A 24,264-nucleotide genomic window follows, 5' to 3' on the forward strand; every position below is an offset into this window, starting at 1 on the left:
GTTTTTTTTTTTTTTTTTGGTCATCTGTTCTGCTGTATTGTTCAAAATGTAAGTCCCGTGGATAATATTCTATTTCCTTTGCTTAACTGTGTGGCCACATGAGCTCCAAACATCAAAGTACCAAGTCACCACTTTGTGCCATTGCTCAATGGGGAACAGGATGGGAGAAATGGACACAGATGCATGCAAAGTAATTGTAGTTTCTGAAATGACTACTCAAAACTCATGAATCTCTCATACTGGGTTAGCATCATGTTTTTCTGAGATAAACTATATTAGGAGCAAAGGAATGAAGTTCTCCACTTCCAGTGACACACGTATGTAGTGTAGTAGATTTCTCTTAGTTCTATAAAAATAAAAATACCAAATGAAATAATAGAAATACTGTAATTGGATTCTCACTCCTCCTGTTCTTCTTTCACTCATTCATTTATCCTTCCCTATTGCATTCCTTTTATGTGTATTAGAGGAGATATGAAGACTAACACACTTTCTAATGTTGAGGATCTCTTTGGGATTAGTTTTCTTCATAAGATTGGAAATAATTTTGCATTACCAGGAAGAAAAATGTGGCGGCCATTATACCATACTAGATAAGTGCATAAATTCCAAAGCCAGAACATCTGGGTTTGTGTGGTGGATACTTCTTTTACAGGGTAATTGTATGACCTTGGACCAGTTCCTTAGCCTATCTGTGCCTCAGTTTCCTCATCTGTAAAATGAGGATTAAAAATAGTACCTATCTCAGATCTGGTACACAGAAAACATTGATAAACATTAGGTATTAGTATCACCATCGCCATTGTCTTATCACTCTAGACAGGCAATCCCAGAAAGAACAAGAAGTATAAAGGACTTGGTAGATTGCTCTTCTATAAAAACTCCAGGCGACCTCACTGTTTTATTTCTTTTTTAATCTAGAAAAAAAAATCATGCACATTTTGGTGTTGCCAAGCCATTGCTACTCCACTATTTATTGAGTAAGGTCAGTCCTTTCCATACTAGGCCTTTCTAGGGATTTGGTAATAGTGAGGGGAGAACAGAACAAGGTGTGAAACTTTCCAGGGCTGGGTCCTCTTTTCACCCTCTTTTTGGAGTTAGGGATTGGGGCGCTGCAGAATGATATCATTGAGGCTCAGGTGAAGGGTTGCAAGGAGCTGTAATGGCTCCTTGTAGCCTTTTTGCTAGAAGCTTCCTAAGGACAGGGACCATCGCTGTTTTACTCACTATTGTAGTTTAGTGCCTAGGTTGCTTGTTATTGAAAGTTTGCCTTCTTTTCTAGCTGGGTACAATTGCTCATGCCTGTAATCCCTTGGGAGGCCAAGGCGGGTGGATCACCTGAGGTCAGAAGTTCAAGACCAGCCTGGCCAACATGGCGAAACCCCATCTCTACTAAAAATACAAAAATTAGTCGGGCGTGGTGGCACGCCCCTGTAATCCCAGTTACTGGGGAGGCTGAGGCAGGAGAATCTCTTGAACCCGGGAGGCAGAGGTTGCAGTGAGCCGAGATCGCCCATTACACTCTAGCCTGGGCGACAGAGCCAGACTCTGTCTTAAAAAAAAAAAACAAAATAAAAAACTTTGCCTTGTTTTCTGATACACAAAACTGATGTCACAATCCAAAGCTTTCTATTAGAAACTGATATAAAGACAATTTCTCAGCTCTTTATAGAGAAAGGGTTAACATACTGATTTTTCCCACAGAGTCAGTGCAATGGGAGATCGTATCATTTCTGTATGATCTAAGCTCTATTTAAGAAAACAGATTTGGCTGGGCGCAGTGGCTCACGCCTGTAATCCCAGAACTTTGGAAGACCGAGGCGTGTGGATCACGAGGTCAAGAGATGGAGACCATCCTGGCCAACGTGGTGAAACCTCATCTCTACTAAAAATACAAAAATTAGCTAGGCGTGGTGGTGCGTGCCTGTAATTCCAGCTATTGGAGGCTGAGGCAGGAGAATCACTTGAACTTGGGAGGCGGAGCTTGCAGTGAGCCGAGATCTCGTACTATTGCACTCCAGCCTGGCGACAGAGCGAGACTCCGTCTCAAAAAAAGAACACAGATTCAATTTTGATTTCAAGATTAAAAACGATGAACTATGAAACAAACTTGTTTATGTTTTAACATCTTGTGTATATAAATATGGAATGACACATATTCTAAATGGCTTACCTTGACTAGGAAAATTTGGCACTGAAAAAAAGATATTCTGTTAAAATCACATATGTAGGTCCTATGGTTTGTAATATTTGACCTTAACACAAAGAAGAAAAACATTATAGAGCCAAGTAAACACTAACACATTTGAGAATAAACCTTGTTTTTAAACAGATTGTTTTCCAAAAGAAATTCTTTTTGTTCTCAGGCTTCAGGGTAGCAACTATAAAATCCGAAAGTTGAGCAAGGTGGGAAGATCTAGAGGACAAAAGAAAAAGACTGAAAGACACTGCAGTATAATTCAAGGCGCTAAACAGATGAGACTGGCACGTGTCAGAAGCAGCAGTGACCTTGTGCGCGTCTTACCATCCCTGCTCCATTTAGACATTTATACAATGGTTGCAAGAGGAAGGCTGATCAGGCAAAGTCTAATTGGGGAGCTGAAGAACCTCTTTATTCTCCTCGTCCTCCTTCTACCACTCTTCTCCTTTTTTCTCCTTTGACTCCTCCTTTTCCTTCTATCCTCCTCCCTCTCTTATCCTCCTTCTCTTCTTCACAAATCTGGCTTGAAGTTAAAACTCTCTGGGAAGACAAAAACACAAGACATTTATAAATGAAGAAAGAAAAACCTATATAGGTAGAGAAAGAACATTTTACTTAGAAGCTAACAAAAAGACAATATGAAATAATAAAAAAATTAATTCAAGTCTCCTTCAAAATATAGCAGCATCAATTTGCTGCTTTGCAGAGCAATAATAAAGTGGTGTCCTAAGAGATATTAATAATTGTTTTTTCTTATAAAATAGTTGTCTTACCTTTTCCACTGTTGTGAAGTTTCTTTCTTTTTAATAAACCCCAAGAAATAAGAAAAATGTATAAAATCTTGAGTGCAGTTGTAGAGTAGATATTGAAAGCTAGAGAAAAGTGTTGGGAAATGAATTATTCTGTATAATAAACCCCAGACATACAAGGGAGCCCTTTTATGATATTGCTCAGATACATTGTTCACAAGGTTTCTTTAAGAAGATGCCTTTGATTTTGAAATGACTTTGTGATGTCTGGCTGCTATGGTAACTGCTATTTTATTAAAAAGTAGCATTTATAGCATTAGGAGAAATACCTAATGTAGATGACAGGTTGATGGGTGCATCAAACCACCATAGCACGTGTATACCTGTGTAACAAACCTGCACGTTCTGCACATGTATCCCCGAACTTAAAGTATAATTTTAAAAAAGTAACATTTATAATCAACTAAAATTTCTAACTTTTTGACATGCTATTCTAGAGTTCCCTTACATTTACCCCACTTTCCAACTCATCACATAATTTGCTATAACCTTACTTTTTGGAAATGCCTTTGTTTCCCTATTTTTTAATACGTTAGATTGGTATCATTGTCATATTTGAGTAAAGATTTAGTGTTATTGCGAAGCTAGTTCCTTTTGCCCACGATAGTGCCATTTGCTGAGAGCTTTCCTTATACCAAGTACTATTCTGGTGCTCTATGTATTATCTCATTTAATCCTTACAACAATAATATGAGGTGTATTATTATTATTATTCCCATTTAACTGACAAGGAAATGGAGGCACAGAGAGATTAGGAAATATTGCCCAGGATCATACAGCTACAACTATCCAGTATAGTAGCCTGTCACCACATGTGGCTATTTAAATTTAAATTTAAATTTAAATGAAATGAAATTAAAAGTTCGCCTTCTTAGTTACACTAGCCACACTTCAAATTCTCAATTAGTCTGTGGGATGAGTTGCTACTGTATTGGGAGTGTAGAACAGAATGTCTCTATCATTGTAGCAAGTTCTATTGGACAGAACCGTCAGAGAAGCAATGAAGCCAGTCTTAAACCTAGCGGATTTGGTGGTTTCAAAGTCCAGACTTGTAACTACTGTGCTCAACTGTCTTTTTCTCCCTTCCATAAGAAATAAAGGGACTAGTATAGAGAGTCTATGAGTTGATATTAACCAGAGATGGATAAAGGGCAAGACTGATGAATAGAGACTGAATGGAAGATTCATTTATTCATTCCACAAATGTTTATTGAGCCCTTGCAGAGTGATGGGCTGTTCTAGATGCTGTTGAAACAGCAGTGAACCAAACAGATGGGTTCTGTGACCTCACAAAGCTTATGTTCCGCTGGGGACTGGCAGACACAAACAAGTAATTAAATATATAATCTATCAGGTGATCATAAATACTATGGAAGAGTGGGTGATAGTGAGTGCTGATGAAAAGGTCTCTTTGGCCGAGCACAATGGCTCTCACCTGTAATCCCAGCACTTTGGGAGGCCGAGGTGGGTGAATTCCCTGAGGTCAGGAATTCGAGACCAGCCTGGCCAACATGGTGAAACCCCGTCTATACTAAAAATACAAACATTAGCTGAGAGTGGTGGCTTACGCCTGTAATCCCAGCTACTCAGGAGGCTGAGGCAGGAGAATTGCTTGAACCTGGGAGGCGGAGGTTTCAGTGAGCTGAGATTATGCCACTGCACTCCAGCCTGGGCAACAGAGCAAGACTCCCTCTAAAAAAAAAAAAAAAAAGGAAAGAAAAGGTCTCTTCGACAAGACACCATTTAAGAAGAGACTTGAGAGAAGAAAATGAGAGAGGAGAATTCCAGGCAATGAGAAGGGAATGTGCAGAGGCCCCAAAGCAGAGATCAATGAGTGCAGTTAACATGGTTAGTACCATGTAAATTGGCAGCCATCCAGAGAAATCCCTTCTCTTCCAGATCATCATACCTTATCTATTTAGGCTTCTTCACCTTGAGTCTGATGTCACCTTTCTTCCCTGGTTCTATTACATCTGCTTTTGAGTCAGTAGAGCCCATTTCACTTCTCTGATAAAATACACATTTTTTAGTTTGCAAACTTTGGAACACAAAGCAAATCTTAGCACTCTTCTGTGATTAACCTTGACTTCAAGGGATTGCAGGATCATATTGTTTGAAAAGTTTTTCTACTTTTCATGGGCTCCTTCCTCCAATAAACAGAAACTAGCCTCCTAGACCAGAAGTCACTATATGTAAAACGAGGCTGATAAAATTATTTTCAGGAGAAAATTAAGATGGAAGGAGACTAAATCATAGTTTAAAATTTTACTTCTAGACTCAAGTAATAGCCTTATAAGTTTCATTTTTTATTGTTAATAGTTTGGCCAAACATAGAAAACAAATCCTAAGTGTTTGAGCGAATTTACAATTTTCAAGGTGGCAACACATTGACATTCTATAAAGATAAATTCAACCTCTCATATGCCAAGTATTAGGAAAGATTTTATTCTTATACCTAGGAATTTCCATGGCACCCTCCTGTCCTGACCATCACCTGTGCTTCTCTTGGTCTCTATATCCTGTTACATCGAAGCCCATCCCTGTTTTTCTCTGTTAAGACCTAATACAACTAGGCCAGGGGCAGTGGCTTATGCCTGTAACCCCAAAGCTTTGGGAGGTCATAGCGGGAGGATTGCTTGAGGCCAGGAGTTTGAAACCAACCCAGGCAACATAACGAGACCCATCTCTACAAAAAAATAAAAATAAAAAATTAGCTGAGCTGGGGCAGGAGGATCCTTTGAGCTCAGGATTTGGAGGCTGTGGTGAGCTATGATTTCACCACCGCACTCCAGCTTGGACCTCAGAGCGAGGCCCTGTATAAAAAAAAAAAAAATCTCATACAACTGAATCATTATTCCCTTCTGTAAATTGCAAAAAGAAAATGAATAATATATGTAAATTATTACTATTATATTTATATTGTAAGCATAGAAAATGAATAATATATGTAAATTATTACCATTACATTTATATTTTAACCATTTTACATATAAAATACTTTTGCACGTAAAATTCTTAGAATACTACCAAGTATGTAATAAGAACTTCATAAATATTAGCTATTTTCATTATTATTCTCAGCACTCTAACCACTTTCCCCGCTTTTTTAAAGCAGGTCTTTAATAGATGCCTCAAGGCATCCAATCTACCTTCCTGCAGCCGCCTGTATCTTCCAGCCCCAACCCTGTGTCCTACCAGCTCATGTACAATGCATGTCCCCTTTGATGAGCACTGCTTCTCCTCATCTTCCTAATGTACCCTGCAAATTGGAATTCCTGACTCTGAATCCTGTAGTAGGCACTATTGAGACTTCACCTGTTTACCACGAGCATTTTGTAGTCTGAAGGAAAGATCTCAACGCAGAGAACAATAAGTCTGTTTCTCCAGGGGTGGAGGTTTCTCCACACTTTTCTTTCAGTGGAGGACAGTTCACGTGACCTCACTTCCACATCTCCAGCCAAGGGTTCTGGGTTCCACGGATGTGGGAAGGATCCAGGTATAACCATGAGTTCCTGGCTACTCTTTCAGTAACAGTTGGGGCTTCCCAACTCCATTTAAAAACAGTCTAGAAAAACTCGAAAGTTGGCAGCTGAGATTGAGTGAATTTCCAAGTGCATTGGGTTGGTGCCTGATTTCAGTGGGGAGCCTGTAAGGGCTACCCGGAAAGGCGATTATCCCTCTGCAGTTCTGGATGCCTCCCAGAGGCTCCAAAGGGGTTAAAATTTACTGGTTTTTGTTTGCAATGTATGTATAAGGAAGCACTAAAGCCCCGACATGTTCATGAAACCAGACATTTTATTCATTTTATACTACAAATGAACAACAACAACAAAAAAGCCAGCATATCATGAACCAGACAATGGAGAAGTGTAAGATATTTGGCAGTTTTTAATGTTGGGAAAATTCACATATTAAAACTACCTGTGCTTATAGGCAACTGCATGAAACAGGAGTAAATTAGGGTACACCATGTTGCTGAGGTGTGATGTCAGATGAGACCACATGAGGATGGTAAGGTATCCAAGGGACCACAGTTTTCTCAAAATTTCTTAACATTCTGTCACTGAATCACATTAGTCTTTTTATATTTATATTTCCTCAGGCCTTGGTTTGGGACTGTGTTCCTGAAAGACACAATGATAAATTATTCATTTGTATATAAATAAAGGCAGCAGATTCTGGATGGAAGAAGTGTTTGCAGAGTGAAAGTAATTCCTGTAAGATAAAGGGTAATTCTGAATTATGGCAACTTATTTTCTTCATCAATGCCCTGTTAACCTGAAGTTAAATAAGCTATGAGCATTAGTGCCTAATAGGGCGGGAAGATTGTGCTTCAAACTGGTGAGCAGAACCTGCATAAACTCCAAGTGATATTAGCCATTTCTGTTTAAGGAGCCTTGGAATATACCAGTGTAGTTCTGGGCACTTTATATACAGTGCCTTTGATTTTCTTAACCCTCCTTCAGTGTTGATTTTGTTATTTGCTGATGATGTAGCTAAAGCTCAGAAAGTTATGTGACTTGTCCAGAGCCACCTACCTGGTAAGTGGAAAAGCAAGGTTCAATTCCATGTCTCTCTATTCCTTTATATATATATTTTTAGTTAGTCCCTTTTATTCTTATTTCCTCATTTCCCACTCTCATTGGCTTCCTCACCCACTGACAAACCATTATAATAAGTCTGATATGTATCCTTTTGTTTGTATGGATTCTTGTAAAAAAAAATCTCTCTTGTGTTCCTCCATTTTTAATTTCAGTAAATGGTATTCTGCTATAGATTTATTTCTCTTGTTGTTATCCATTTGTTTATTTTTAAACTGTTTCCACGCAGTGCTAGGTTTTGAAGCTCCACCCACGTGGCTGTATGCACCTCTGGCTCGTTATTGCTGACGACTGCACAGTACTCCAGAGTTGCGTCCACCACATTTCCGCCCTGTCCATTGCCCTGGCAACAGATGCCCAGATTGCCCCTAGATTTCTACCACACCAGACAACTGGGAAGTGGACATCTTGTACACATTCTTTGATGAGCCTAGGTGGGATTGTTTGGGAATTGCTGGACCATAGGGCACACATATGCTAACTTGGACCACTTTGGGCCAGTTTGTTGCTCTCCAGCCTGGCTGCTCCAGCCCCCACACATCTGCTGGCAGTGCCGAGCAGTCTTGCATCCCCTCATCCCCACTGGCACTTCCAGTTTTCTCATTTTTCTAATTTTGGCCAGTCTGATTGTATAAACTGATATTTCATTGTTTTAATTTACATTTCTCTAAATTATTAACGAGTTTGAAAATTATCTCTTCATATGCTTGTTAGTTGAACTTTTTCTACTGCTACCCTATTGTCCAGTTCAGGAGATGAAGGTCATGGTCAGGACCCTGACCATCTCTCTAGACTAGCATTGTTCATCTAAAATATTATGCCACCCACATATGTAATTGCACAATTTCTAGTAGGCACATTATAAAAAGGTGAAAGGAGATGAGTGAAATCAATTTCAATAATATATCTTAATATATCTAAAATACAGTAATTTCTACATATAGTCAACATAAAAATTATTAGTGAAATATTTTATATTCTTTTTCTTTTTGTACTGTCTTTCAAATCCTGTGTATATTTAACAATGAAAGCAAATCTCAATTTGGATGCTAAATTTTCAGTGGTCAAATTGAAATATAGTCACTTTATGCAAGTGAATTTTTGTTTAACCAAAAAATATTTTACACTGCTTATAAAATTTTGGATATGCCTGATTATTAGAAAGCTCTTCCTGTATTGGGCCAAATAGTACTGCTTTCCATGACCACAAATAAAATGTGTAATTCGTCTTCGAGAGAACATCCAAATGAGCCTTGGATTATTGCTCTTGGGTTTTTCTTTCCCCACAACATCTCCTTTTCTCAGTTGTCAATATCCCCAATTCCCCCAATGGTACCTTACATGACATAATTCCTTTGCTTTATCACAGTGGGCCCTTGGGTTGTATGCATTTCAGATCGTCTGTACCTCTCCTGAGACGTCACACTTGGACCAGCATGGTTCTCTAGATGTAGTCCATGGATGGGGTGGTGCCCAGATGAATTTTAGTCCCCTGTGACCCAGACACTCTGCTACAGCCAGAGTAACTTGAAACTAAATTTTCATTTAGCAATCACATTAGGACTTAGTGAACAATTGCTTGTTGTCTGTTTATTCACCTATTGACGTTTTTCAAGCACCCACTATAAGTTTAGTATGTCTGTTAAACTATAGCTTAGACATGGCCTTCTACTCACTACAGTTTCTAAGGAAGGAGAACCAACCTTAGAAAAATAAAATTCTTTTTAACAAATAGTTGGTTGCCCTCCATTGTAGCTCCCCCAAAAAGCCTTCCACAGACTCATTCTCAAAAGTAAGTGTCGCATGTTTAAAAAATTGGACCGGGACCTGAAACTACATAGCGGCAAAGGCTCTTCCTCCACTGGCATCTATCCAGGATGAATTAGTAAAAATCTTTAAATCTGTTGTCAGTCTGACATAAGGATTAGTTAATGTATTTTATGCAAAGGCAAAGCCAGCACAGATTCTCATTTTAATAAGAAATATATGATATAGAAAGATAAATTTTCATCTTTATATCATTGATATAGTACATTATACAGATGTACCTAATTAAGAGATAATGATATGTAATATGGTAGGCATTAATAACAAAGACAATGTGGAAGATTGTAGGACAAACCATCAGTGAAATGATTGTATTAGGATATAGCTTTTGTAATAGAAGAAAACATGCTGTAATGAAGGCATGAAAAATACAGTTGTTTACAGTGACTTTTCCAGGTTTGGTCACTGTTCAGTCCAGGGTAGGTGATGAGAAAGAACAGAACGCAGACTCCAGGCAAGAAGGAGAGTAGAGTAGATAAAAGAACCTCCTTTCTTGTTTCCTGTACTCCTTCCTGTTGATTACAGGCTGCCTCTGACCATACACCCAAAGAAAGGGGTAACAACTTTAACCCTTAACTTAGGTGAGGACTAGTTTGAGAAACACCTGATAGTAAGGAATAATCAAGGGCATGGAAAGATAAATGGCCTGGAGTCATCCTTTCCTGACTTTTCCAAATCTCTCCATTTTTGTCATTGTCAGAAGTAGTTTCATTTGGACCATGGCAGCTACAGGGTGCAAGTATTTTTCCTTTACCTTTAATGCATCTTGGAACAGGTGGAGTAGGTGGAGGTTGGAGAGCACAGAACAAATGAAAAAAAGAAAAACCCACATCTGACCCAAGAAGACTGAAGATGGACTCTCTGACTCCTATTTGCCTCCAGACTCCTAGGACTAATTCAGTTCAGCAAACAGTCTACCAAAATACACTGTGCTAGTCATTATAGGATCCCAAAGACAAGAGATGTATCACTCCCACAGTCTAGTGGGGAGGAAATGGCACCAACACCCAGATAATGAGAATCAAGAGTAGAATGTGCTAAATGGCCTAAGGAGCCCATAACCCCTGGCCCACGGACTGGTACTGGTCATGGCTTGTTAGGAACCCAGCCACACAGCAGGAGGTGAGCAGCGGGCTAGCGAGCACTGCTGCCTGAGCCAAAAAGGTTGGAGACCTCTGGCCTGAGAGAAACAGAGTGTTGTAGAAGCTTAAAAGGCAAAAGCCTTCACATTTAATTTGGGGACTTGGGGTCCCCAAATTACTCAAACTATTGAGTAAATAGTCTGTGAGGTAAACCTTAAAGGATGAATAGGATTTTCATAGGTAAAGATGAGCAGGAAAATGCATGCTAGGTTGTTACTCCAGAGGGAAGTCCCAAGTGATGTTGTGCACACAGAATTCTTCACCTACTGTACCTAAAGAGCTAAGTAGTAAAGACATCCATGTTCTTGCTCTCTGGGTCTCGTAGTATCATGAAGATAACCCAGATTATTCTCAGAGCTAGAGATCACCTTTGCTTCCTTGACAAGTCACGTGCAATTTTGACAGCCAGCTACCAGGTTAACAAATATAAATGTGAACCCAGGATACAGATAGAGTCAGGTCTTTTTCCTCCTCTTAAAGGCAATTAGTAGTTATTGACCTGGGGCTTCTGGGTAAATGATTGTCTAAAACATCCATTTGTAAAGGACATCTTTACAACTCCGTAAGCACTAACTTTCGGGTAGCCAACTTCAGCAGACTAGAAAAATCAGCATATTATGTATTTAAGTCTCCCTTTCCCATCCTGTATCAGTCAGGGTTCAATGAGAGAAACAAAACCAAAAGGAGATAAATATTAAGAGATTTATTCTAAGGAATTGGCTTATACAATAGTGAAGACTGGTTGGGCAAGTCTGAAATCCCTAGGGTAAGCTGTCAGGAAGGGCAGACTGGAACACTCAGGCATGGGTTGAAGCTGCCTCCTGCAGGTGGAATTTCTCCTCTTCCTCCTCCTCCTCCTCCTTCTCCTGCTCCTCCTTCTCCTCCAGCTTCCTCTTTCCTCTTTTTCATCTCAGTTCTGCTCTTAAGGCTTCCAACTGATGATGGACTTTAATCACATCTACAAAATACCTATATGGCAACAGCTAAATTAGTGTTTGATTGAAAAACTGGGGGTGCTGTACCCTAGTCTATTTATACATAAAATGGACAATCACAAATCCCATAGACAGCCCTGGTATTAGGGTGAGGGAAGGTAATATAAACAATGGGATCAGGCAATTTACAGCAATGGCGGAAGGGAATCCATCAAAGACACAAAAGGCCACATAGCATATGAGTTTATTTATATGAAATATCCAGAAGAGACACATTTACTGTGGATTTGTGGTTGCCAGGACCTGGGGGAGTGGAGACTGACTGCTGAGTGCGTATGAGGTTTCCATCTAGGAAACATGAAAAAGTGTCGGAACTGGTAGTATGGCCGTACAATATTGTGAATGCACTTAATACCGTTCAGTTGTGCACTTTAAAATGGTTAAAATGTAAATTTTATGCCAAGTGTATTATTACTGTGTGTATAAAAAATAATCAGATTTTTATTTGGTCTGACCACAGTGGGCTCGAAATTGAAACATACTTCTCTTTGGGGGTCAGTAGGGTGTAATTTAAAAGTGTCAGTTTCATATGTTTACCTTTGTTTTAGCACGGGATTTACCTGTTTTTGACAAGTGCCAGCCTTAGTTCCCTTACAGAGTTGAGATGTAAGTTGTTTTAGCCTGTTGTTCTACATGTACAGCTTATAACGTGAGAGCATAGGCAGGCTTTACTTAGACAACTTGAAAGTGTATTGAGCCATAAAGACAATACAGCATTGGGTGACTTTCACAGAGCCAGTGATGGAGATCTTCAGATACAAGAAGCTTTTGTTTAGAGCATGCTGATTGGGAAGATGATCATAAATCTCTGGCCTGTCAGAAACAAAACTGAGATTTAGCTAGGTTATTGTACTGGGGTTCCTGGGAATATTTTACTGCCATGGCTCTTTTCTTCTCGATAAATTCTTTTCAGGCTGGATCTTTATTGAGAGCTGTGATTTGTGGATCCTTTCCTCTGTGTATAGCATGAGCTGTTGCTCGATGGATGTCAGCATAATGATCCTTTTGCAATGGTGACAGTTTGGAGAAATGTTTTCCAAATGTGTTGCTACTGACAGACATAGATGAATTTCCAACAAGAGTTATGGATCACCAGGAAAATGGACTCTGACAGTGCCCTGGAGCCAGGGAGTGAAATAGACCTTCCCCTGGATGAGCCTGCATGGGGCAGATGTGCAGAGATACACAAAGAGGGCCAGCCTGAGAATACCCTTCTATTTACGCCTATGCTTCTTCCTTGTCAACTAGAAACCACACGTTGCATATTTATTGCCCTCAATACAGAGATTTCTCCTTGGGAATATTTTCAGCTCTTTTAGAAGCAACATTAAATATTTTGAAGCCACTAAGGAGGAATTTATTTACTGGCATAAGTGGAACACTAGACACCTGATAGAGCCTTCAGAAGGTCCTATGTTAGGCTTCACTTATGTCACTTTACAAGTTAAAAATAAAATTTAAAATTATTATATACTATCATAGATGCGATTGTTAGCTGATTTGGGTCACTGAAAGACATATTTCAGATAAAATTAATTTTTTGAAGTGTCAATGTTCCCATCCTGAATGACTCAATAAATATGTAAAAAAACTAAGTTTAATTTGATGTGGTCTTTTCCACAAAACTAACTTAGCCAATTCATATATCTTGGCCATTCTTTGACTATTCATGTTCTTGAGTCCTGCACATAGGAAACCATAAGCAGCTTTAATCTTTGTGGGAGAAAGAATTCTACCCAATTCTGTGTCCACAGTCTAGCGGGGAGGAAATGGCACCAACACCCAGATAATGAGAATCAAGGGTAGAATGCGCTAAATGGTCTAAGGGGCCCATAACACCTGGGCCCTGGATTTAAAAAGTGGCCAGCACAGTGTTCTAATTGCCATTGCTGGCATGCTCCAGTCGGGCTGGCCTAGCTCTTGGGAACACCTATTGAAAGACAATTATTTATGAGTGTGACATTGTATGTTGGATGTATAAGATGTGCTAAATACTTCATAGACATGGTTTTATTTTTTTCCAATGACAATTTTCTGTATCATGTGTTATAAACTGACACTCAGAAGTTAGTAACTTACCCAAAGTCACACAAATAGTAAGTGAGATAGTTGCTTCAATTGCAGGACAGTCTGATCCTCAAATCCTGACACTTTCCGTTGCACCATGGTAACAAGGATTTTCAGCACAGTTATTCCCAGAGCTAGTCACCAGGAAGTGCCATAGCACACTTATACTTTTAAAGGGATGGGGTGGGTGATCCAGGGAAGCCACGCAGTAGGAAGATCTGGGCAATGGCAAGTAATTCACTTGAAGAGCTCCTCTTCTCTCCAAAAACACAGCTCATGCATAACCTGCTCTTTGGAGTCTTGCGTTCCAATGTATCATGTTCCACAGTTAACCTCCCCTGTGCTTGCTGTGCACCTGCTCATATGTCTGTACTCATGCTTGTCATACTTTATCGTACCTGGCACAGAACTTGCCATAAAGTAAGATCTTAATGAATGCTTAATGAACTGATAAGGTAAATGCATCCAGATAAAGCTCAGAGAATGGGAAGCCAGAGGGAGGAAACTGAGCAGGTGAAGTAGGAGGTTGGGAAAAAGCAAACTGGACTTGAAGAGGAGCCCCAATTCTATGTCTGCCTTATAGCAGGTGAGCCAGCCAGCCCCAGAAATATACATGGAGCTTGATGATAAAACACAGGCTTTGTAGTCATTATATTTTCAGCTTTAGGGAGGTTGATTTCCACAGTGAGTTGTTGGGTTTTTTTAAAAAAGTGCTTCCGTGTGTGTGTGTGTGTGTGTGTGTGTGTGTGTGTGTGTGTGTGTGTGTATACATTTACATACTTCTTGCCCAGGATGAAAACAAGAAATACTTTGAAGAAAGACTTCAGAGGAGAGTGGAAATAGGGAGATCAACTGCTGTGAAGACTCAAAGATCCCCACTTTGGTCTCTAAGCCAGGGATGGGCAAACGATAGCCCATGGGCTAAATTCCTCTTGTGGACTGTTTTTGTATGATTCTACATGCAAAAGCGGAGCTAAGAATGACTTTTACATTTTTTAATGGCCAAAAAATCAAAAGAAGAATAATTTGTGGCATGTGAAAATGACAAGAAAGTCAAATGTCAGTGTCCATAAATAAAGTTTTATTAGAACCCAGCCATGCTCAGTCACTTGTGTATTGTCTATGGCTGTTTTCGCATTACAAGGGCAGAGTTGAGTGGTTGCCATTGAGACTGGATGGCCCACTAAGCCTAAAATATTTATGATCTGGCTTTTTGCGGAAAACGCTTGCCAACCCTTGCTCTGAGCCTTGGTAGCATCATCCCCTTTTAAGGCTGGTGGGAAAATAGAATAACATTGTTTCCATTGTTTCAGGAGCCTTCTAGCAGAGTATATTGATTGTATTTATAGATTCCTATTGATTTTTGTTGTTACTTTAATCTGTGTTTGTGTGAAGGGCCTGGAATAATTGTTGTACATTGTCAAGGTACATTCTAAATAGCATCTGGAAAATCTCTCATGACTGATTTTGGTAAAGAAGCTTTAATTTCTAAATTGCTTTTGAACTTTTCCATCTGAAAGTGGGAGCTGAAGGAGAAGCAAGGAATAGGTAAATAGCAGCCTTTGGCCCCGCACTACTTTGTGAGCCACCCTTGGGATTAACGAGATAATGTACAGGCAGCATTTTGTGCTTGTCAAGGAAAGGTACTACATAAATATAAGACATTATTATTAGTAACACAGAGAAGGCCTTGAGGAAACGATCTTCATTTCTGACTCACAGAATAATAGGTTTCTACAAAAATAATTAAGATCTGATGATTAAATGTATGCTTGTAATGGGGTCAAAGTAGCAAGGGTTTAGGAACAAGGTAATCTTGGAGTAATGAGAGAGACCACTGTGATTTCAAGATATACAAATCTATCCGGATTAAAAAAGACAGGCAATAATTTTCTGCTCTCTTGACACAATGTAAGATTTGATGCTGCAAGAATAACTGTGATTATTGGTCAGAAATCACTTTGGGATCCACCTCTTTTAAAGGGTTGGCATTACACCACCTGACCAACACTGAGGTTCTCCAGGAACTAGGGGATGTGAATGTGTGATGCAGAAATGCTCCTGGACTTTTCCCTCTTCCCTGCTAGGTCTTCTTCTTCCCAGAGATGTTCCTGGGTTCTAGTTGGGGGTTCTCCTTAGAGCAGAGGCTGGGACAAGAACTTTGGTGCAGGCAGTTTATTTGGGAGGTGCTCCTCAGAAATAATAGTGAGAGATCAGTAAGCATAGACAACTAAGAGGAAAAGTCAGCCAAAGGTGTATTATTGAGCTGGGTAACCTGCAGGCCACTGGGGCTCTATCTGCTGGGGACCCTCTGAGGCGCTGTGTGGAATAAGCCTCAGACCGTCCTTCTGAAGGAGGCTGGAATTAGTAAACTCATTACATCATAAAAAGAGCCATTGCCAGGTTTTGAGGTCACATGTGCTAGGTCATTTGCCTAAGATGTTTTGTTTAATTCTGAAAACAATTGAGAAAGGTATCTTTAGTCACATTGTACAGACAGGAAACTGAGGATTTTATTATAAATGTTATAAAGTCACTTAGTAAGTGTTAGGATGCTGATCCAGGTCTGCCTAACAGCAAACCTCATGCTGTTTCCTCAATGCTATGTAAGGATGTAACTGCCCAATGGGTTCATCTTGTCCACTGCCCAGATAGAGCCAATTTATCAAGAGAGGGGAATTGCAACAGAGAAAGAGTTTAATACTGTACACCCAGCTAAATGGGAGACCAGAGTTTTATTATTACTCACATCAGCCTCCCTGAAAATTCAGAGGCTAGAGTTCTTAGAAGATAGTTTGGTGGGCATGGGGCTAGGGAATGGAGAATGTTGATTAGTTGGATCAAGGATGAAATCATAGGGAGTCAAAGCTGTCCCCTTGTGCTGAATCAGTTCCTGGGTGGGAGCTACAAAACCAGATGAGCAAGTTTACTTGCCTGGGTGGTGCCCAGAGGCATCAGAATGCAGGGTCTGAAAAAAATACCTCAAACACCAATCTTAGGTTTTACAATGCTAATGTTCTCTATAGGAACAATTGGGCAGGTTAGGAATCTTGTAGCCTCTGGCTGCATTACTCCTGAGCTGTAATTTGTAATCTTATAGCTAACTTGTTGGTTTGACAAGGGCAGTCTTCTCCTCAAGGGAGAAGGGAGTTTGTTTTGGCGACTGTTATCACCTTTGTTTAAAAGTCAAACTACAGATTAGATTCCTCCCAAAGTTAGTTCAGCCTGTGCTCAGGAATGAACCAAGGGCAGCTTGGTGGTTAAAGGCAAGATACAGTCAGTTAGGTCAGCAATCTTTCACTGTCATAATTTTCCCACTGTAATAATCTTTGCAACAGCAGTTTCAAGAATACAGCCTCTTTCTCTGTTGGTATATTTTAAAATTATAAATGGTTTCTGATTTGTAATGTTGGAAGGATAAGTATGTGATGGGAGATGCTGCTGCAGTAACGGAGAATTCCTCAAATCTCAGTAGTTGAACCACTCCTTACTTCTCTGATGACGTGCGCATGCAGGTGATGAGGTGGCTCTGTGTTGGTGCAATCCTCACCTGGGGATCTAGGCTGATGGAGCAGCCACTGTCTGGCAGTGCTGGCTCTAGGCTGAGACAGGTGAGGTATCTGTGGCATCCACTCTCAGTGTTGTGCAAGCGCTAACCTTGAATTCACATGACCTTGGGAGTGAACGCCTCCTTCAAATTTGTACCACAGATGCCTCATTTAACCTAGTCAGATCCTTGCCATTGGGACTGCATATAGCAGAGGGAAGAGGGCCTGGTGAAGCAGCCTCTTAAAGCTTTCACCCAGAGTGACATGATTTTTCTGTTCACATTTTATTGGAAAAGCAGGAAGGATGCTGGATTTTGGTGAGCAGTAGTAGAGTCTCCCAGAATAGGTTTGATTTAATTAGCTTTTACAAGCCTCCTCCTTGTCTTGTTAACAGGTTAACAAGTTTAAGCTATTCAGCAGATCATCAAGGCTTGGAATATATTTAATTCAAATGTTGATTTTCCTATGTGGTCTCATGAACATTCAGAATAAACAAGTGCTGCAGCTGAAGCTTCCTATATCTGAGTATTAAAAGTAGAGTCGCAAGGAGAGTGCTCTGTAAAGATTTCCACCCCATAATCAGCCATGCAAAACTAACCTTGAGATTTAGTCATTTTCTAGATAGCCTGGGAGACAGAAGAAACAAACAGGCAGTTGTTATCCAAAGATTTCCTCTTGAATGTGTAATAAGAGCCATTGGCTATAGGCAAAGTTTGATGAAATCACAGTGTGGTGAGGGTGGGGGGACTTGTTTACTAGTAGTTGCCTTCTTCAGCATGTGGTCCAGCAAATTCTTTTGTTGTGGACTGCATTTTCTCTGTGAGCTGAAAAAGACAACTAGAGTAAATGTAAAAGAAACATTAACCATTGACACACACACACACTTCAAAGAGGGACTATGAAAAGAAAAATGGCTTAGTTCAAACAATTGCAAAGCTGGCAGTAGAAGTTAGATTTTCATGTCCACTTTGCCCTGTACATAAGTCCAAAGAACCCAGATCTTCTACCAAAATTGTACTCTTGTCTTGGGGACAAGTTCTAGCAGTGGAGAATGCTGGGTTATGGTCACAACTAGATTTAGGTGTTGGGAGAAAGGATAGGGTGTTAGGAGAAAGGGAATCACATCATGGTGAAAACCTGTTGCATCCTTATATTTTTGTCCACTCTAGCAAGAACACATTGTGTAACTGTGGGCAGGTCATTTAACTTTGTTGGACGCCAGTAGAATGAAACCAGGAGCACGTCATTTAACCCTGTTTTCTTCAACGGTAAGATGAGACTGGAGAAGATTCTTGCTCTAAATTTGGCAAAGTAAATAAAGGAAGAGATTATTGTCAGCTCAGAGAGATAGCAGGATGTTAAAATTTCTTTTTTAGGCTGGAAGAGACTTTAGAAATTTATACTTTGAGAGAAGGAGTCAGTTGAGAGAGATACTGAGGGTGCAGGAGAAAGAGGATTTCTACCATTTAAAGGTTGTGAAAGAGATGGGAGCAGGCTGGGTGTGGTGGCTCACACCTGTAATCCCAGCACTTTGGGAGGCCAAAGCAGGCAGATCACCTGAGGTCGAGATTTCGAGACCAACCTGACCAACATGGAGAAACCTTGTCTCTACTAAAAATACAAAATTAGCCGGGCGTGGTAGCACATGCATGTAATCCCAGCTATTCTAGAGGCTGAGGCAGGAGAATTGCTTGAACCTGAGAGGCAGAGGTTTCAGTGAGCCAAGATCTCGCCATTGCACTCCAGCCTGGGCAACAAGAGTGAAACTCTGTCTCAAAAAAAATAAAAAATAAAAAAATAAAAAAGGAGGTGGGAGCGAGTGGTAAAAAGAGGATAGAAGACTCCATCCTGAATAGGGATGCTTTTCCCTCTAAGACAGACTGGAATGATGAGTGGAGATCCTGTGATTGTTTTTGTGATTTTTTTTTTAAGGTAGTGAAGAGGGCGAGGTAGCATCAACAAGATGAAAAGCCTCGGCCGGGCGCGGTGGCTCACGCCTGTAATCCCAGCACTTTGGGAGGCCGAGGCGGGTGGATCATGAGGTCAGGAGATCGAGACCATCCTGGCTAACAAGGTGAAACCCCGTCTCTACTAAAAATACAAAAAATTAGCCGGGCGCGGTGGCGGGCGCCTGTAGTCCCAGCTACTCGGGAGGCTGAGGCAGGAGAATGGCGTGAACCCGGGAAGCAGAGCTTGCAGTGAGCCGAGATTGCGCCACTGCAGTCCGCAGTCCGGCCTGGGCGACAGAGCGAGACTCCGTCTCAAAAAAAAAAAAAAAAAAGAAAAGCCTCTTTCCAGCTAGGCCATCTTCCTAGAATGTGTGGGCGGGGAGGGGAGATGGATATACTGAAGGGTAGAGAAAAGGTTTGGAACAAATGTGTGAGGAATAGAAACATTTTGGAGTCCAGGAAGAACTCGAAGTTAAACAGCAGAAATTGTAGCAGACCCAGTTGGCATGGCGTGTTTTTCATTATTTGACACACCAGGACCAGGGATGAGGACATCTAAATGTAAGACTGGGTCATCTTGGAATGATTTCCCTTGGCAACTTGGCTTAGGAGAAAAACAGAAGAGTTTGAAGTTTCCTGTGGTCTCTTGTGAGAGCAGAGAGCGTTCTTTGGGCACAAGAGTGTGGGAAAGATGGAAAGGAAGTTTTGGACACTCAGAGAACACTGAGGGTAAAACAGTGCTCAATAAAGATGAGGCCCTAAAGATACTAAGACCTGTGAGTGATTGAAATGGAGCAGGAATTGCACTATCTTTTTGAGAAGATGGAGGAAGAGGGGAACAGAGTGCTGGATTGTGAGTTTATTAGGATAGGGCCAAAGGTCCTCTTTATTTTGGTATCCCAGACCTTAGCATGTTGTCAGGCACATAGTGGATGCTTAATAAATCCCTGCTGAAATAAATTAAGCTGAATATTATCCAGGATGATGGCAGAAGATGAAGACAGAAAGCAAATTCTGAAATTACTGGGCTGTAGACAAGGTTGGCATGTGCAGGTCTTGTCTAATGCAGAGGAGGTGACCTAGTTTATCTTGCCAAGCACCCCGTCAAGGGCTTTCCCTTCCTTTCTCTATGACTGACTTCACAAATAAGAGGTAATTTCCCTAACTGTTGCCAGCTGTGCCTCCCACTTCTATAGGATGGGTTTCTGCTTATCATCCTAATACAAAATTATATTCTCCTGCTTGCCAGTATGAATGCATTTTATGGGAATGGCTTTGACTACATTCTTGATAAAAGAGTGATTCCTAGGGATTCAGTAAATACAATATCGAGAAAATGAAACAGAAATGAGAACCTAGGTAACTTGTATTAGAGATGGGGTAGTTTATTTGTGGATTGCTGAATTTTGAAAGATAGCCAGGAAAGAAAAAATAAATCAAACAGCCAGCACTGCTAAATGTAGGTTTTTTTCTCATTTATTTTGCCAAGTGTGGATGGTTGTTAATTATATAGTTATGATAATACTTCGCAGCTTACTTATGATTGTCCTGAAGCATGTTTTCTAAATGTAGTAAAGTCCGGACTGCATGGGGCCCTCTGGCTCCATTAGTCTGCCATTAAGTTTTATCTGATAAGTGGTTTAAGTTTGCTATGGAGTTTGTGGATTAATTATATTCAGGTGGATTAAGCTGGGTTCCAATGATAAAACTAAAATACTAGAGAGACAGTCTTAATGTTTATAAGGTTCTATAAAGTTTCTACCTTTACTACATGCATATGAATAATGCATTTGATCATCAAAAAGAATGACTTAGGGGTTGAGTTCTGAGTTCCTTTGGACTGTAAACATCAGGGCAGCCCTTGTATTTCCAGCTTGGGAATCAGATGTTCTATGGTTAACTTGTAACCTATGTCGTCAACATCTTTCTTACTCTCCTATTTCCAGACTAGAGAATTGTTATGTTGTTGTACTCAAACTTCTGTGTATTAAGACAGAACTAAGTTTAACCATTACCTAGCATTAATGTTGGGTCAGATCAAATGAGCTATTTATGGCTTTGGGGTATAGATCGTCAGATGTTAAGCAGATGGAACAGGGAGAAAAACTGGCTTGTTGATGACTATGGCTAAAAATAGTGGATTTGGAAATATCAGCATAGGGGGTATATTTTCCAACTTGGAAATTCTGGATCTATTCACATAATATTAGAAAAAAAATGTGTGCAGTATTTTGGTTGGTTTGCTTTTGTTTTTGGCTGCCCAGGCAAATAAAAAATTGAGTTGTAATGACTTGCAGATAAAAGTCACTGTTGCTTAGGAATTGTTGAGACTTTAGGGGGAAGGAGGGCCTCAGTAATTTTTGTTTTAATTTTGTCTAAAGACACAGGGAGCAAATTACATCTCTGTAATGGTTCATTTCCTAGAAGTAGTTATTTCCCCAAGGCTTACTTTCCCCTTGTCCTTTTGAACTTTAAGCCTTTAAAGCCTTTAGCCCAGCACTTAGAAACTTGTCATTGCAATTCTTTGGCTATCATTTCTTGCCTGTAAACCCAGCTTTCCTCTCATTAGGAATTCAGTGTTCTTGCTAGGATGTTTATCCATAGAGAGAAGTATTGAGTGAAGCTGTCAGCTCATTAGCAGTGGGGCATGTGATTTAGACTTGATAGGTTTACTGTGAAATTCAGGAGGGCTGAATTAGGAGCCCTTGCCAGGCAGCTTTTGCTGCCTTTATGTTCCCCACCAGAACAGTTTGGGTTTGAATAATACTTTGCTTGTGGTTAAAACTCTGTGCAGCCTCTTTTAGTTGTTGTTGTTATTGTGGTAAGAACACTTAACATGAGATCTACCCTCTCATTTTTTGAAAGGAAGTATGAGGGAGACAAAAAAAAGGGACCTGAACGGTTCAGTTTGAGACTTTTAAGATTGATTTTAGCTTAACAAGAAACTCCAGGACCCAGGTCAAGGCAACATGCTTGCAGACATCCGCTACCTGAATGCAGTGGATGAGGTAGGGTCCCATTTCTGCGGCGCGTAATCTCCTCCTTTATGTTCACCAGTACTTCTTGGCTCTTTTATTTCTTTGTTCCTGCCTCTACCTAATCTTTCCTTTCCTTTTCTGCCCCTGACTTTCGGCCTTAGCATCTTTGTCCTTTTCCAGACATGGTGTGCACACATGTACGTGTGTGTGTGTGTGTGTGTGTGTGTGTTGTTTTGTTTTGTTTTTGTCTGCATGGCCTTCCCAAAGACCAACAATTTTGTGGTTTCCATGTGGATAACTTCTTTTGGCTGTACTGCCCTATGAGGCATGGCCAGATTGTTCTGCACTGATATTAATTTTTATTAAGCATCTACTATATGCCAAACATTGTACCAAGTGCTGCATACATATAATATTTAATTTGTGGTAGGACAAAGTAATAATAACAGTAACACATATAGCCCTTACTACATACTTACCAGCCCTTACAGACACTGTGCTATACATCTTCTATAAACTTATTTTATATTCACAGCGATCTTATGAGGGTTACATCATTCAGGGTCTCTCCGGGAGACGTAAACCATACCTTTTTAAAGTTTTATTGAGGTGTGATTTATATACTCAAAAATTTGTTCATTAAAATTGTACAATTCAATGAGTTTTAGTAAATTTATAGAGTTGTAATATGATCACCATAATCCAGTTTTAGGACATTACCATCAACCCCCCCAAAATTCTCTTGAGTCTGTGTGCACTCAGTAGTTGCTTGAGGCCAAGTTCCACCTCTAGCCTCATGCAACCACTGATCTGCTTTATATCTCCACAAATTTACCTTTTCTGGATATTTTATATAAATGGAATCCTACAATATGTGGCCTTTTGCACTTGGCATCTTTCACTAATATAATGCTTTTAAGCACCGTACATGTTGTTGAATGTATCCAAAGTTTGTTTCTTTTCATTACTGAATAGAATTTTTATTGTATAAACACAGCATATTTTGTTTATGATTCTCCCAGTTGATGGCTGTTTGAATTCTTCCAGTTTTGACTGTTATCAATAATGTTTGTATTTCTTTTGAATAGATTTCTAAGACTGGAATTATTGGGTTGTATGGTACATTTATGTTTAACTTTTAAAGAAACTCCTAAACTATTTTCTGGAGTGGGTGTACAATTTTACATTCTCATGAGCAATGTCACAGAGTTCGTTTCTTCATATCCTTGCCCACACTTGGTATTATCTGTTCTTTTGATTATAGCAGTACTTGTAGGTTTGCAGTGGTATCCCATTGTGGTGTAAATTTGCATTTCCTAAGTGAATAATGATGTTGAGCAACTCTTCATGTGCTTATTAGCCATTCACATCTTAGTTGGTAAATTTCTATTCAAGTATTTGCTTGTTTGGCTTATTTTTGAGTTATAAGAGTTTTTAAAATATTCTAAATATAAGTCATTTATGAAAGATGTAATTTGCAAATGTTTTCTCCCAAGTTATAGCTGGTCTTTTCACACATCAATTAATTTAACAAAAATAATGTGATATAAAGAATATTAATTGTGTTAATATACATGTTAGCCATGTATTGAATAACTGAAAAGGCCAGAAAAGAACACAAATGTTTCACAGAGGTAGCCAGTGTAGGAAGCAGATAAAACCTCTAAGGATGGAGGAACAAAGGAAGAGGTTGAAATGATAAAATTTAGAAGCTTGGAGAAGGAACTAAAACTTGGTCCCCTGAGGAGAGGCTGCTGCCAGCTGGTGCTGGTGTCTCTGAGGAGGTGCAAAGAGCCTGGTTCTGAGAGTGTAGGAAAAACTGCAAGCTGGAATGAACTACTGCTACTGGAACTTGCTGCACCGACTGGATAAGGAAGAGAGGTTGGGGAGACTGATGGGAAGATCGAGTGTCCTTTTTTCCTCTTTCAGTCTTCCAGGCTCCCTCTAGCACCACCGCCCTCCCCTTTCCATACCACTGGCAGAACCAAAAAGAGAGCAGGGTGGCAAAGCAGAAATGTGACTTCCAGAGTCCCAGCCCCAGCATCGAAAAAGAGAGTACTGGAGGGGTGGGTTTGAAGCTAAGAAACAATAGTTTAATAACGTGCACAGGTAGGTGCTACTATTATCCCCATTTTAAAGATGAGGATA

At 40.0% G+C, this 24,264-nt stretch overlaps 1 protein-coding gene across 2 annotated transcripts in view, besides 1 other annotated feature; it reads left to right on the forward strand.

Moving 5' to 3' along the window:
• Window positions 1-24,264, forward strand: part of LHFPL3 (LHFPL tetraspan subfamily member 3) — a 579,959-nt gene that overhangs the window by 17,733 nt on the left and 537,962 nt on the right. The window lies entirely within an intron of this gene.
• Window positions 14,536-15,053: an enhancer, noted in NCBI's record as "OCT4-NANOG hESC enhancer chr7:104001319-104001836 (GRCh37/hg19 assembly coordinates)". NCBI's record gives its function as "activates a minimal SCP1, AML or CMV promoter by ChIP-STARR-seq in naive H9 embryonic stem cells {active_cell/tissue: H9 hESC(naive)}" and the evidence as "EXISTENCE:reporter gene assay evidence [ECO:0000049][PMID:30033119]".

The sequence above is a fragment of the Homo sapiens genome, chromosome 7 (genome assembly GCF_000001405.40).
Source record: "Homo sapiens chromosome 7, GRCh38.p14 Primary Assembly".
NCBI lineage: Eukaryota > Metazoa > Chordata > Mammalia > Primates > Hominidae > Homo > Homo sapiens.